Source organism: Homo sapiens, chromosome 11 (assembly GCF_000001405.40).
Source record: "Homo sapiens chromosome 11, GRCh38.p14 Primary Assembly".
NCBI lineage: Eukaryota > Metazoa > Chordata > Mammalia > Primates > Hominidae > Homo > Homo sapiens.
Genome location: NC_000011.10, coordinates 109,614,378 through 109,629,116, shown reverse-complemented (window position 1 = coordinate 109,629,116; position 14,739 = coordinate 109,614,378).

Sequence of the window (14,739 nt, the reverse complement as noted above, 5' to 3'; positions counted from 1 at the left end):
TTGGCTAGGTTAAAATCCAGACTGGACATGACTGAAGACAAGGTTAATCAATTTAAAGACCGACTAATAGAAAAATCCAAACTGTAGCAAAGAGAGAACAAGAATGGAAGGAATAGAAGAGAACATGAGAGACATGCAGGGCATAATCAAATAGTCTAAGTTTGTGTAACTGGAGTCCCAGAAAGAGAGAGAACAGAAACGGGAAAGAAAGAAAATTGGAAAAGACAATGGACAACATTTTTCAACAAGCAGTGAAAAACATTATTGCTGATTTATCAACAGAAGTGATGGAAACCAAAGGCAATTGAAAGACATTGTCAAAGTGTTAAATAAAACAATACTGCCTATCTAGAATTCTATAAACAGCAAAAATTACTTTTAGAATAAAGGGACACTAGAAGTATTTTTAGGAAAAAAGCCAAAATATTTTATCACCGGAACACTTATTATTCAGGAAAAAACAGATTCACCTATTTATTAGAAGTATTAATTAAAATTGTATTAATGATTATTAATATTAATAATTATTAGACTAATGATTCTAGGTTGAACTTCAAAACTACTGGAAGAAATAGATTAGTAATTATGAAAAATAATTAAATATATGAGTTAATATAAACAAATCCTAACTATAAGAAAAACTAGTATCTTCTGAGTTTACAACATATGTGGAAGTAAGCAATGACAACAATAGCATAAAAACTATAAACAAGCAAATGGGGTTAATCTTTCCTTCACTGATTGAGATGTGGTAGAATTAAGAAGGCAGACTGCGGTAAGTCATTGATGCATTTTTAAAATTTCTGGGATAACCATTGAAGGAATTATACATGAATGTATAATTAAAGTTGGTAGAGGAGAGATAATAAATAAGACATATGCAGTTCATCTGAGAAAGACAAAGACAAAAAAGAACGCAGGATAAAAATTAAGAAATTTAAGAAAAAAAGATACACTTAAATTCAAATATGTCCGTATTTATATGGAATTTAATAATGTATCAATTATTTGTTTAACAGAAAAAGAAATGTTACAATTAAAGACAAAGACTGGGAATTCTGTTTACAGGTACTACATGCAGTAATAAAGATTATACTTAACTTCCAGCCATAAACAACTATGAAACAATGGTTTTCAGATATTGATTAAGCAGTGCAGGACTGTGAATGAAAGAAAGAAAATAAATGGGATGAATTTTATATTGTACTGGATTTCTGCCTTGAGGAAATTTCTGGACCATAACGTAGAGATGGGGAACATAAATGGACGCTGATTTTAATTGGTTTGTTAATATGGTTTATGTTGGTTTTTGAAAATTATACCAACCTTGCCTTTATTTGTTTTGCTAATATAATTTATATTGGTTTTTTAATGTTATACCAACCTTACGTTCCTGGAATAAACTTCACTATATACACACACACACACACACATACATACACACACACACATATGTACATATATATACACACACATATATACATATATGTTCCACATATATGGAATAAACGAAAAGCTGGTTCTATTCTCTAAGAACTAGCTTTTAGTTTTATTTGTCTTTATTTGTGTGTGTGTGTGCGTGTGTGTGTGTGTTAGTTTTGTATTTCATTGATTTCCTATCTTTATTTTTCTATATATTCTAGTTCTAATTTGCTCTTATTTTTCTAGTTTCTTAAAGTTTACAGTATACATTTTTAACTTACCAAAGTCTACCTTCAAGGGATAATATGCCATATTCATTACAGTATAAAAGCCTTACAGTAGTTACACTTCTAATTATCTCCTCCTAGCCTATGTGCTATTGATGTGACACATTTAATTTTTATACATTACAAACTGCAGACTGTGTTTATTGTTATTACTTTTCATTTAAAGAGTAAATTATCTTTTAAAGAGATATAAACAAAAAGAAAAATGTTGTATATTTTCCCTAGTTGTTATTATTTCTGGCGATCTTCATTGCTTTATACAGATTTGGTATCCTTTTTCTTCTGCCCAAAGGACTTCCTTTTACATTTCTTGTAGCACAATTCTGTTGGTGATTATTTCTACTTTCACATGTCTGAAAAGGTCCTTATTTCACCTTTATTTTTGAAATATATTTTTGCTGGTTATAAAATTCCTTTTTATCTTTCAGTTTTTTCAGTTCAATTTTTTTCTCTTAATGCTTTTAAAATGTTGCTTCACCGTCTTCTTGCTTACATTGTTTCGCATGAGAAATGTGCTGTCATCCTAATCTTTGTTCCTTGGTGCATAAAGTATTTTTCTCTAGTTGCTTTTAAGATTTTTTTCTTTATAACTAGTTTTTAGCAATTTGATTTTGATATGCTTTGGTGGAGAGGTTTTTAAAAAACATGTTTCTTGTGCTTGGAATTTTTTGAGCATTTTGAATTTGTGAGTAACCGTTCTCAAAAACTTTGGAGAAGTTTTAGCTGTTACTTCTTCACATTTTCTTTTCTATCTCCTGCCTTTCTACTCTCCTTTTGGAATTTAATTATATATTAGGCCACTTGAAATTGTTTCACAGGTCATCAAAGCGTTGTTAGATTTCCAAAAATTCTTTTTTCTCTCTAGTTTTATTTTAGATAGTTTTTGTTATCATGTATCCAAGTTTGCTAATCTTTGTTCTGCAATGTAGTTAAATCGGGTTTTATAATTTTTTCTTTCTTAACTTTTCAAACATATGTGTTACAGTTATTCTGCAGGTTTTAATGTCCTCATTTGTTAATTCTAACCTGTGTCAAGACTGTGTCAGTTTCAACTGACTAATTGTTCTCCTCGTTAAGAACCTTATTTTCCTGCTTCTTTAAGTACCTGGTAACTTTCTATTGGATGCCAAACATTGTTAATTTTACCTTATTGGATGCTGAATATTTTTCTTTTTTATTTACTTTAAATTTTACTTCAAGTTCTGGGATACATGTGCTGAATGTGCCAGTTTGTTACATACGTATACATGTGCCATGGTGGTTTGCTGCACCTATCAACCCGTCATCTAGGTTTTAAGCTCTGCATGCATTAGGTATTTGTCCTAACGCTCTCCCTCACCTTTCCCTCGATCCCCCTGACAGGCCCCGGAGTGTGATGTTCCCCTCCGTGTGTCCATGTCTTCTCATTGTTCAGTTCCCACTTGTGAGTGAGAACATGCAGTGTTTGGTTTTCTGTTCCTGTGTTAGTTTGCTGAGAATGATGGTTTCCAGCTTCATTCATGTCCCTGCAAAGGACATGAACTCATTCTTTTTTATGACTGGAATATTTTTCTATTCCTATAAATATTCCTGAGCATTGTTCTGGAATGCAGTTAAGTTACTTAAAACAATTTGAGCCTTTCAGGTTTTGCTTTTCAGATTATTAGACAGGATCAGAGCAGTGATCAAACCGGGGCTAATTGTTTTCCACTCTTGAGGCAGACCTTCTGTATTCTTTATATATACTTGGTATACTCCCTAGGAAGCATAAGGTTTTCCAGTCTGGCTGTGGTAATAAGCACTATTCCCAGCCCTGTGTGCACATTAGATCCGGTTATCTTTATTCCTTTCGGGTGGTTCTTTCCCCAGTCACCCGTTCTTCACATGCATGCACAAATAAGTGCTCTGCTGAATACTCAAAGGGGACCCTCTGCATATTGGTAGGGATCTCTTTGTGTAGCTCTCTGATCTCCTCTACATTGCTCCATGAATTTTAACCAGTTTGGTCTACTTGGACTCTCAGCTTTATCTTCTCAACTCAGGGACTCTTCCAGGTTCCTCCTCATTCCCCATTCCTTTATTGTGCCACCTGAAAATTATCTCAAGGCATTAACATAATGCAATTGTAGTCTCATCTCATTTGTTTCCCATCTCTCAAGGATACTGTTCATTGTGTGATGTCTGGTATCTTGAAACTGTTGTTTCATTTTTATTGTTTATATTTTTGGTTTATGTGGCAGGGTATCTCTGTTACTCCTATCATGGCTAGGAATGAAAGTCTTCCCTTCATTAGATTTTCTATTCCCACAGTGCCTACTGCAGTGCTAATTAAATGTCTGTTAAATGAAAAAGTTTATGATGATGGTATTGTCTTTGTGTTTCTAATATTAACATCATGAGATATTTTATTAATTAGAGACAATTGGAACCAAAAACAGTATACATCTGCAGAATAAAACCTAAGAGCTAAGATATGCTTCTACCAGGGCATATTGGTACAATATTCACACCTCATTAGGCAGAATTTCATAGAAACTTGCATAGAGTATTTCTGCATGCAAAATGAAGAGGAAGACTTTTCTCCTCTGAGGAAAATTTTTACGGGAAAATGAGCTGCATTAGTCTTGCTTTTCCTCCCTGTTTCATGTTAATAGCAGTTATACATCTGGAACAAAAAGGAAGCAGAGCTTAATGAATTTTCCCAGGATCTAGCACATGAAAAATACCCAAGATAGCGAAATGGGAATAGACTTTGCTCAATTACTGCACTACATTCTTCACATATATGAAAGTTAGACTATAACAGGTACCACCATTTTTCTTATTCTCTTTCTTTTCTCAGTCCCAGCAACCTTTTCTAACTTTGTAAGGGGAGTTACTTCCAATCTGTTAATATATAAAAGGTATGTGAGATTCTATGCAAGCTATATAGCCTGCATTAAAATTGTGGTCTAATCTTCTAATACATCTTTCTAGTCATAAGGGTATCAGATCAGTAGATATGCTAATTGTGACTAAACTCAACCTTACACAGAGAAGCCTCAGCAGGCTCTGTTATGAGCAGGAAGCAGATCTGCAGCCATGTCCTTCATTGTGGTAATAATAGGTACAATGTTTACTTAACTAGACACTGTGGGGATTTTGGCCTCATATTGCTAAAGAAATAACTAATGCTAATATTTGCAAAAAAAGATTCCAAGTTTTACTTTTCTTATTTACTGTGCTATATCTGGCCTCACACTTGGTAGGAGGAAGATATTTTATTGAAACCCTTTGGCTATGAGCAAAGAATAGACAATACTGTTTTAGAATGTGTTGGGAGAGTGGCCTGTTACCTGCTCACAGCAGGGAGGAACAGCTGTTACCTATATTTTTAAGTAAAAATTCTGTGAGCTACTTAGCTTCAAAAGGTCTTGAGGTTCAACGTCTCTGGAAGTCTTATGGTACCACAGCATGACTGTCTCAGGGAGTGCAGATAGTCCAGCCATAACTCTCTCAAAATGTCAGTTACCTTTTTGGGTTTGCTATAATAGGCTCAGCTGGAAGCAGCTTGCTGGTTTGACTGAAACATCAGACTTTAAGAAATTCTTTTGTTATGCCTTCCATAGGTCATCATTGACAATCAGGAGGTGGTGTTCAGAGAAACTAGTTAGCTGGCAAAATAAATTAATGATGCTTTCCTTGGGTCCATTAAACAAGACCCCCACCCTTTGACCTGAGAATCTTCTGAAGGTTAATCATAGAAATGCTCAAGGAGAATGGTCTCCGGAGTGTGGGGGGTGATAATGAGAGTTATTGAATAAAGACAAATTGTTGACTCAGTGCCTCCTGACTTAGTCCTCTCTTGCGGTTAAAGTTGCTACTGCAATGCCTTCTTCTATTCATTAACTCTATAAATATCTGTTGAGCGCATCCTATGTAACATTTTACCTGGTGCTGGTGATCATGGTGACAACACAGATCTGGCCCCTGCCCTCATGGAGCTTACTATCAAACAGAAGTAATAGATAGGTTAAAAGTAATGAATTTCAGTTGTGACAAGTGTTGTGGAAGAGAAGTATAAGGTGTTATGACCTCCTAGAACAAAGGAAAATAACACAGTCCGACGGAGTCTGGGGTGGGAATGGTCACAGTCTCCCTGAAAAAGTACCACTTTGGCTGAATTTTGTGTAATGCGTAGAAGTCAGCCAGATGACAGTGATGTCTTTCTTCCTTTCCCACCTGGGTGGCATGAGTAGAAGATGTCTGAAGAAACAGTGTCATTCACACCAGAGAAGGAGTTGCATGTACAGGAGAAGGACAGGGTCTGAGTGTTGGACATCAGTTGGTCAGTCTCATTAGTTGGGTGGAAGCCAAAGACTGAGCTCCACATTAAGTGAAAGAAGGTGGGAACAAAGGGACATATGAGTTAACTGAATGCCCACTCTGTGCCCCGTACAAAGATGAAACTTATACAAGTTTTCTTATTTGTAAGAAGAACTACATTATGATGTAGCTAAAATTATCCCCATTTGATCAATGAGGAAAATAAAGGACAGAGCGTTAAGGCCCTCATTCCATGTTCACAGACAATGAGTGGGATTGATGGGATTCGAACCCAGATGTCCAGTTACTCTATGCTGCCTCTCACATCCACAAAGAAAATAGAGTATCATGGTATCTCATTGTGGTTTTGATTTGCATTTCTCTGATAGCCAGTGATGATGAGTATTTTTTCATGTGTCTTTTGGTTGCATAAATGTCTTCTTAGAAGTGTGTGTTCATATCCTTCACCCACTTGTTGATGGGGTTGTTTGTTTTTTCTTGTAAATTTGAGTTCTTTGTAGATTCTCGATATTAGCCCTTTGTCACGTGAGTAGGTTGAGAAAATTTTCTCCCATTTTGTAGGTTGCCTGTTCACTCTGATGGTAGTTTCTTTTGCTGTGCAGAAGCTCTTTAGTTTAATTAGATCCCATTTGTCAATTTTGGCTTTTGTTGCCATTGCTTTTGGTGTTTTAGACATGAAGTCCTTGCCCATGCCTGTGTCCTGAATGGTATTGCCTAGGTTTTCTTCTAGGGTTTTTATGGTTTTAGGTCTAACATGTAAGTCTTTAATCCATCTTGAATTAATTTTTGCATAAGGTGTAAGGAAGGGATCCAGTTTCAGCTTTCTACATATGTCTAGCCAGTTTTCCCAGCACCATTTATTAAATAGGGAATCCTTTCCCCATTTCTTGTTTTTGTCAGGTTTGTCAAAGATCAGATAGTTGTAGATGTGTGGCATTATTTCTGAGGGCTCTGTTCTGTTCCATTGGTCTATATCTCTGTTTTGGTACCAGTATCATGCTGTTTTGGTTATTGTAGCCTTTGTTAGAATGGCGATCATTAAAAAGTCAGGAAACAAGAGGTGCTGGAGAGGATGTGGAGAAATAGGAACACTTTTACACTGTTGGTGGGACTGTAAACTAGTTCAACCATTGTGGAAGTCAATGTGATGATTCCTCAGGGATCTAGAACTAGAAATACCATTTGACCCAGCCATCCCATTACTAGGTATATACTCAAAGGATTATAAATCATGCTGCTATAAAGACACATGCACACATATGTTTATTGTGGCACTATTCACAATGGCAAAGACTTGGAACCAACCCAAATGTCCAACAATGATAGACTGGATTAAGAAAATGTGGCACATATAGACCATGGAATACTATGCAGCCATAAAAAAGGATGAGTTCATGTCCTTTGTAGGGACATGGATGTAGTTGGAAACCATCATTCTCAGCAAACTATCACAAGGACAAAAAACCAAACACCGCATGTTCTCACTCATAGGTGGGAATTGAACAATGAGAACACATGAACACAGGAAGGGGAACATCACACACCGGGGCCTGTTGTGGGGTGGGGGGAGGGGGGAGGGATAGCATTAGGAGATACACCTAATGTAAATGACGAGTTAATGGGTGCAGCACACCAACATGGCACATGTATACATATGTAACAAACCTGCACGTTGTGCACATGTACCCTAAAACTTTAATAATAAAAAAAAAGAAAATAGGGTATCATGTTAGGTCCCAGATTGATTGACATAGTTAAAATCCCCAAAGGAGAATAATAGTCACATAACTGCTAATTTATTGCATTTTCCTCACTAGATGGAAAGTGCCATCGGGGCAGAGGCCACATCTGCCTTCGTTTGGTGCTCTATGCACTGTGCCTAGCACATTGTAGGTAAGTAGCAGACACTCCATAAATATTTATCATTTAGGTAGCTGTAATGGCAGACCTGACAGTCTAGAAGTGAAGAAACATCTGTAAACATATAATGGTAATATAATGTAGGAGACGATACTGGTAGGAGAAATTCATCTGGCCAGGCGCGGTGGCTCACACCTGTAATCTCAGCACTTTGGGAGGACATGGTGGGCGAATCATCTGAGGTCGAGAGTTCGCGAGCAACCTGGCCAACAAGGTGAAACCCTGTCTCTACTAAAAATACAAAAATTAACTGGGCACGGTGGTTCATGCTTGTAATCCCAGCCATTCGAGAGGCTGAGACACGAGAAGCACTTGAACCAGGGAGGCGGAGGTTGCAGTGAGCGGAGATGGTGCCACTGCACTCCAGCCTAGACGACAGAGTCAGACTCTGTCTGAAAAAGAAAAAAAAAAAAGATTAATCTATACTGCTATGGAATTTCACAAGACAGAGGCCTCCCTTCTGACCAGAGGAATCAGGAAATTCTTCATGGCATGAGACTCAGTCTCAAAAACAGTAAGACTTAGGTGAACATAGATGAGTACAAGGTGCATGCACAATAAAGACACAGGATGATCAACCATTCAAAGACTGGAAATCTAAGATCATGTATAGAGAACAGCAAGAAACTTAGTTTGGCTAAAATATAGTGTGGTGTGAAAGGAAATTCTGGAAGTGAAATTTTGACTGAAAAACCTCCAGACTCTAAGGAACTTAGAGTTTGATTGGTGAGAGAAGATGTGACTGTGAATTAACACAGTAGAGGAGAGAAGATGATAGATGTTCTGGATATCTCTTGCAGCATAACAAACCACCCAAAACTTAGACACTTAAAATAATAATGACCATTTATTTAGCTCACAAGTTTGCAGTTTGCCCAGGGTTCAGCAGGGGAAGTCTGTTTTATAGGCAGGAACTGGAGCCGTTCAAAGGTGGGAGTGAGGCCCATTCATGTCAGAAGGAGGTTGATGGAAGCTCGTAGCTGGGACCTCAACTCCTCAATGGGGCTGTCAGTGGGCATACCTACCCATGGCCTCTCCATGTGCCATAGGCTTCCTCACAGGGTGGAGGCTGGGTTTAAAGTGCAAGCACCTCAAAGAGGATGAGGTGGAAGCTGTTGCCTTTTTATAACTTAACTTCGGAAGTCACATAGTGTCACTTTGTTTTTAGTCACTGGCCTACCCAGATTCAGGAGAATGGGAAGACTGTCAGCATCATACAGTACACACAGCATATGGGATTGGGATACACTGGTGCAGCCATCTTTGGAAAATACAATTTAAAGATGTCTTCTATTGTAAATCTATTGAATACTATGGGGTAAACAGAGATACAAACGATCTGCCCTTTTTCCAGAGTTGTGTGCAATCTATTGGCGACAGGGAATGAGATAGGCATGTGTCTATGCCCGGGAGGTAAGGAGGCGGGGGAAAGAAAGCCACACACTGAGTAATAGTAAGAATCCCTATGTGGTAAGTGCTTGTTCAGGTTGCACTGATCATGCTGATGAAGGGAAGAATCCACTCTCATTTACTCACTGACATGCACAAACAAGCCTGCATGTTTAAAATGCTCAATCCAAGATTTAGTGAACAATAAAATCTGCTGTTGAAACAAAGAAGCAATAGATGTACATCAGTCCACTTCTAAAAAGTCTCTGGGCAAGTACTATTTGCTATTTACTAGACCAGATTCAATTGTGTAAAATTTTTGGGATCCTGAGCCAATATTCCTAAACCCATGTGTGCATCTTCAGAGTCAGGTAGAAGGTACAGAGAAACCCTTCCATTAGGTGCACAGATACGGTGCTCAAATATCTGAGCAGCGGTGGTCTGTTATTTTCCATGTAACTTCAAATCCTGCAAGTGTCGATACAGTTTTCTTTGTGGTAATAAGTCCAGTTCAAATTATTCCATAATTTCTTTCTCTCTCTCATGCTGTCTCTCATTCATTCTAATGTAAGCTGAGCTGACACCCAGAGAAATCAGAATACTCGAAGGTCTACTAGAAATAACAACGGAAGGAAGAAATGATTGGATGAGTGTGTGTTTGTCAGCTTTGGACAGAACTGGGGCAGAGGTGCCTCTGAAGGTGAGAAGAAGACCAAGGGGAGCAGTCTGGCAGGAGACGTCCACTGGGAGAAGGTATCACTGTGTTTAACACAAGCATCCAGTTCCTTGGCAGCCCGAGTCTCTGTGCACTGGAACAGATTTAAAACAAATATGAGAAAAATCCTGACCCCAAGTCTGATACTCTTTCAGCTCATCCCAGAGCTCAGGTGGGTTCAGTTCAGCTACTATTCAGGCCTTGCCTTTGTTATGCTCCTTTACTCTCACCCAGTCAGCAAAGCCTCACTCCTGGCTGGATTGTCTGTTTTGGCCTGTGTGGCTGTACTCAGTTGGCAGCATCAATTCCCTGCTCTCTGGGAGCTTACTGGATGCCCTGCCTGCATTGCAGGAATCACTATTCCCCCCCACCTGAGTAGAGAGTGGCCCTTACCCAGTGACGTCTTCCTTCCCTTTGCACCTGGTCCCTTCATTTATGCCTGAAATGGCAGATTCTTCCTTGCATGTCTTCCAACGACATGGCACCTGCAGGCCTCTCTTCTCAGTTCACTGGTTCTCCTGCTCCCACTGCCATGGGTATGACCACTTATATCCCTCCATACATTGTTTCATGAGCATATGACAGGAGAGAAGGGGATTATAATGAACAGGGATTCTTTTCCCCAATAAAGCAGAGAAAAAAGTAATACTTTCCATCACCTCTCGACTCTACATGTGTTTGTGATCAGACAATAATCACCTACCCTTCTAGTAGGGAGTGGCATCTGCATATCTGCATGCCATTCCATTGTCAAGGGCATATCTTTGGAGTTATCTACCCAACAAGATGCCTCTAGTTTACCAGCTAGACTTCCTGTCTCTAGTCTTCTCTTACTCTAATCCTTCCCCACAGTATTTCCAGGATGACATGTAAGTGATATAAATCTCAAGTTACTCTTCTAGTTCAGACGTTTGAATGAATCTCCATTGTCCTCAGAATAAACTCCAGACTACTAAATAGGGACACAGGTCCTTAGTAAACTGGCCTCAATTCGGCTTCAACCTTAAGTAATAGATGAAGTAAGTTCTTTGAAGATAGAGACTATGCCAAGTTCTTGTTCACCGTTACATTCCAGTACTCAGAACAGCACTTGACACGCAGGACGTTCTCAATACATTGTTGTTAAATGGATGGATGACTTAACTATGGCAAAGTCAAACTTCTGAAGGCATTCCTTGTATGCCTTCAGAAGTATGACTTTGAGGCTTTTTTTTTTCTTAAGATGGAGTCTCGCTCTGTCTCCCAGGCTGGGCTGGAATACAGTGGGGGTGATCTTGGCTCATTGCAACCTCTGCCTCCCAGGTTCAAGCAATTATCCTGCCTCAACCTCCTGAGTAGCTGGGATTACAGGTGCACACCATGACATCCAGCTAATTTTTGTATGTTTACTAGAGATGGGGTTTCACCATGTTGGCCAGGCTGGTCTCAAACACCTGACCTCAGGTGATCTGCCCGCCTCACCCTCCCAAAGTGCTGGGATTACAAGTGAGAGTCACTGCACCTGGCCACTTTGAGGCCTTTTGTCTTAGTCCATTTATGTTGCTGTAGAGGAATACCGAGTTTGGGTAATTTATAATGAAAAGAGTAATTTTTTTTCATTCCAACTTTTAATTTAGGTTCCAGGAGTACATATGCAGGTTTGTTACATAGGTGAATTGCATGCCATTGAAATTTTATGTACAGATTATTTTGTCAGCCAGATAATCAGCATAATACCTGATAGGGAATTTTTCAATCCTTACCCTACTATCACCCTCCACCCTCAAGTAGGCCTTGGTGTTTACTGTTCACTTCTTTGTGTCCATGAGTACTCAGTTTTCAGCTCAAACTTACAATACCTGATAGGGAATTTTTCAATCCTCACCCTACTATCAACCTCCACCCTCAAGTAGGCCTTGGTGTCTACTGTTCACTTCTTTGTGTCCATGAGTACTCAGTTTTCAGCTCAAACTTATAAGTGAGAATATGCAGTATTTAGTTTTCTGTTCTCCTTAGGATAATGGCCGCCAGCTTCATCAGTGTCACTGCAAAGGACATAATTTCATTCTTTTTTATGGCTGCATAGTATGCCATGCTGTATATGTACCACATTTTCTTTATGCAGTGCACCATTGATGGGCATCTAGGTTGATTCTATGTCTTTGCTATTTTGAATAGTGCTGTGATAAACATACACATGCATGTGTCTTTATGGTAGAACAATTTATACTCCTTTGGATATATACTCAGTGGTGGGTGATGGGATTGCTGGGTTGAATGGTAGTTCTACTTTAAGGTTTTTTTTTTTTTTTTTTGAAAAATCATTAGACTGCTTTCCACAGTGGCTTAACTAATTTACACTCCCACCAGCAGTGTATAAACATTCCCTTTTCTCTGCAACCTTGCTACAGTCTGTTATTTTTTCCTTTAATGATAGCCACTCTTACTGTTGTAAGATAGTATCTCATTGTGGCTTGGATTTGCATTACCCTAATGATTAGGGATACTGAGCATTTGTTCATATATTTGTTGGCCATGTGTGTGTCTTCTTTTGAAAGAAGCCCTTTGCCCATTTTTAAAATGAGGTTGGTTGGTTGTTGCTTGTTGATTTGTTTAAGTTCCCTGTAGATTCTGGATATTAGAGCTTTAACAGATGCATAGTTTGCAAATATTTTATCCCATTCTGTAGGTTGTCTGTTTACTCTGCTGGTTGTTTTTTTGTTTGTTTGTTTGTTTGTTTTTGGCTGTGCAGAAGCTCTTTAGTTTAATTAGGTTCCACTTGTCCATTTTCGACATGGGTTTTTTTGCAATTGCTTTTTGAGTCTTTATCATGAAGTCTTTGCTAGGGCTGATGTCCAGAACAGCATTTCCTATATTTTCTTCTAGGTTTCTTATAGTTTTAGGTTTAGATTAAGTCTTTAAATCATCTTGAGTTGATTTTTGTATGTGGTGAAAGGTAGGAGTCCAGTTTCAGTCTTCTGCATATAGTTAGCCAGTTATACCTGCACCATTTGTTGAACAGGGTGTTCTTTCCCTATTGCTTGTTTTTGTCATCTATGTCAAAGATCAGATGGTTGTAAGTGTGCAGCTTTATTTCTGGGTTCTCAAATCTGTTTCATTGGTCTATGTGTCTGTTTTCATACCAGTACCATGCTGTTTTAGTTGCTGTAGCCTTACAGTATAGCTTGAAGTCAGGTGGTGTGATGAATCCAGCTTTGTTCTTTTTGCTTCAGCTTTGGCTATTCAGACTCTCTTTTGGTTCTCAGTGAATTTTGTAACAGTTTTTTTTCTAATTCTGTGAATAATGTCATTGATAGTTTGATAGGTCATTGATAGTTTAATGGAATAACATTGAATCTATACATTTATTTGGGCAGTATGGCCATTTTAACAATAATCATTGTTCCTATCCATGAGTATGGGATGTTTTTCCATTTGTTTGTGTTGTCTCTGATTTCTTTCAGCAGTGTTTTGTAATTCTTGTGGTAGAGATATTTCAATTCCCTGGGTACCTGTATTCCTAGCTATTTTATTCTTTTTGTGGCTATTGGGAATGGGATTGCATTCTTGATTTCACTCTCAGCTTGGACATTGTTGGTATACAGAAATGCTACTGATTTTTTACATTTATTTTTTATTCTGAAACTTAGCTGAAGTTGTTTATCAGATTTAGGAGCCTTTGAGCAGAGACTATGGGGTTTTCTAGGCCTAAAATCATATCATCTGTGAAGAGAGATAATTTGACTCCCTCTTTTCCTATTTGGATGCCCTTTCTTTCTTTCCCTTGCTTGATTGTTCTGGCTACACTTCCAGTACTATGTTGAGTAGGAGTGGTGATAGTGGGCATCCTTGTCTTGTTCTGGCTCTCAAGGCGAATGGTTCCAGTTTTTATGTGTTCAGTATGATGTTGACTGTGGATTTGTCATAGATGGCTGTTATTATTTTGAGGAATAGTCCTTCAATATTTAGTTTCTTGAGAGCTTTACCATGAAAGGACTTTAAATTTTATCAAAAGCCTTTTCTGTGTCTATTCAGATAATTATATAGTTTTTAGTTTTAGTTCTGTTTATGTGATGAATCACATTTATTGATCATTAGCATATGTTGAGCCAACCTTGCATCCCAGGGATGAAGCCTACTTGATTGTGGTGGATTACCTTTTCGATGTGCTGCTGGATTTGGTTTGCTAGTATTTTGTTGAGGATTTTTGCATCTATGTTCATCAGGGATATTGGACTGAAGTTTTCTTTTTTCACTCTGCTCTCTGCCAGGTTTTGGAATCAGAATGATGCTGGCCTCATAGAATGAGTGAGGGAGGAGCTCCTTCTCCTTGAATTTTTGGAATAGTTTCTGTAGAATTGGTACCAGCTCTTCATTATATGTCTGGTAGAATTTGGCTGTGAATCTGTCTGATACAGGGCTTTTTCTAGTTGGTATTTTTTTTTACTACTGATTTAATTTTGGAACTTGTTATTGGTCTGTTCAGGGTTTCCATTTCTTCTCTGTTCAATCTTGGAAGGTTGTATATTTCCGGGGATTTATCCATTTCTTCTTGATTTTCCAGTTCGTGTGCATGAAGAGGTTCATAATAGTCACTGAGAAATTTTTGCATTTCTATGGGTTTGGTGGTAATGTCCTCTTTTTCATTTCTAATTGTGCTTATTTGCATCCTCACTCTCTTTTTTATTAGCCTAGCTAGTGGTCTACCAATCTTATTTCTTT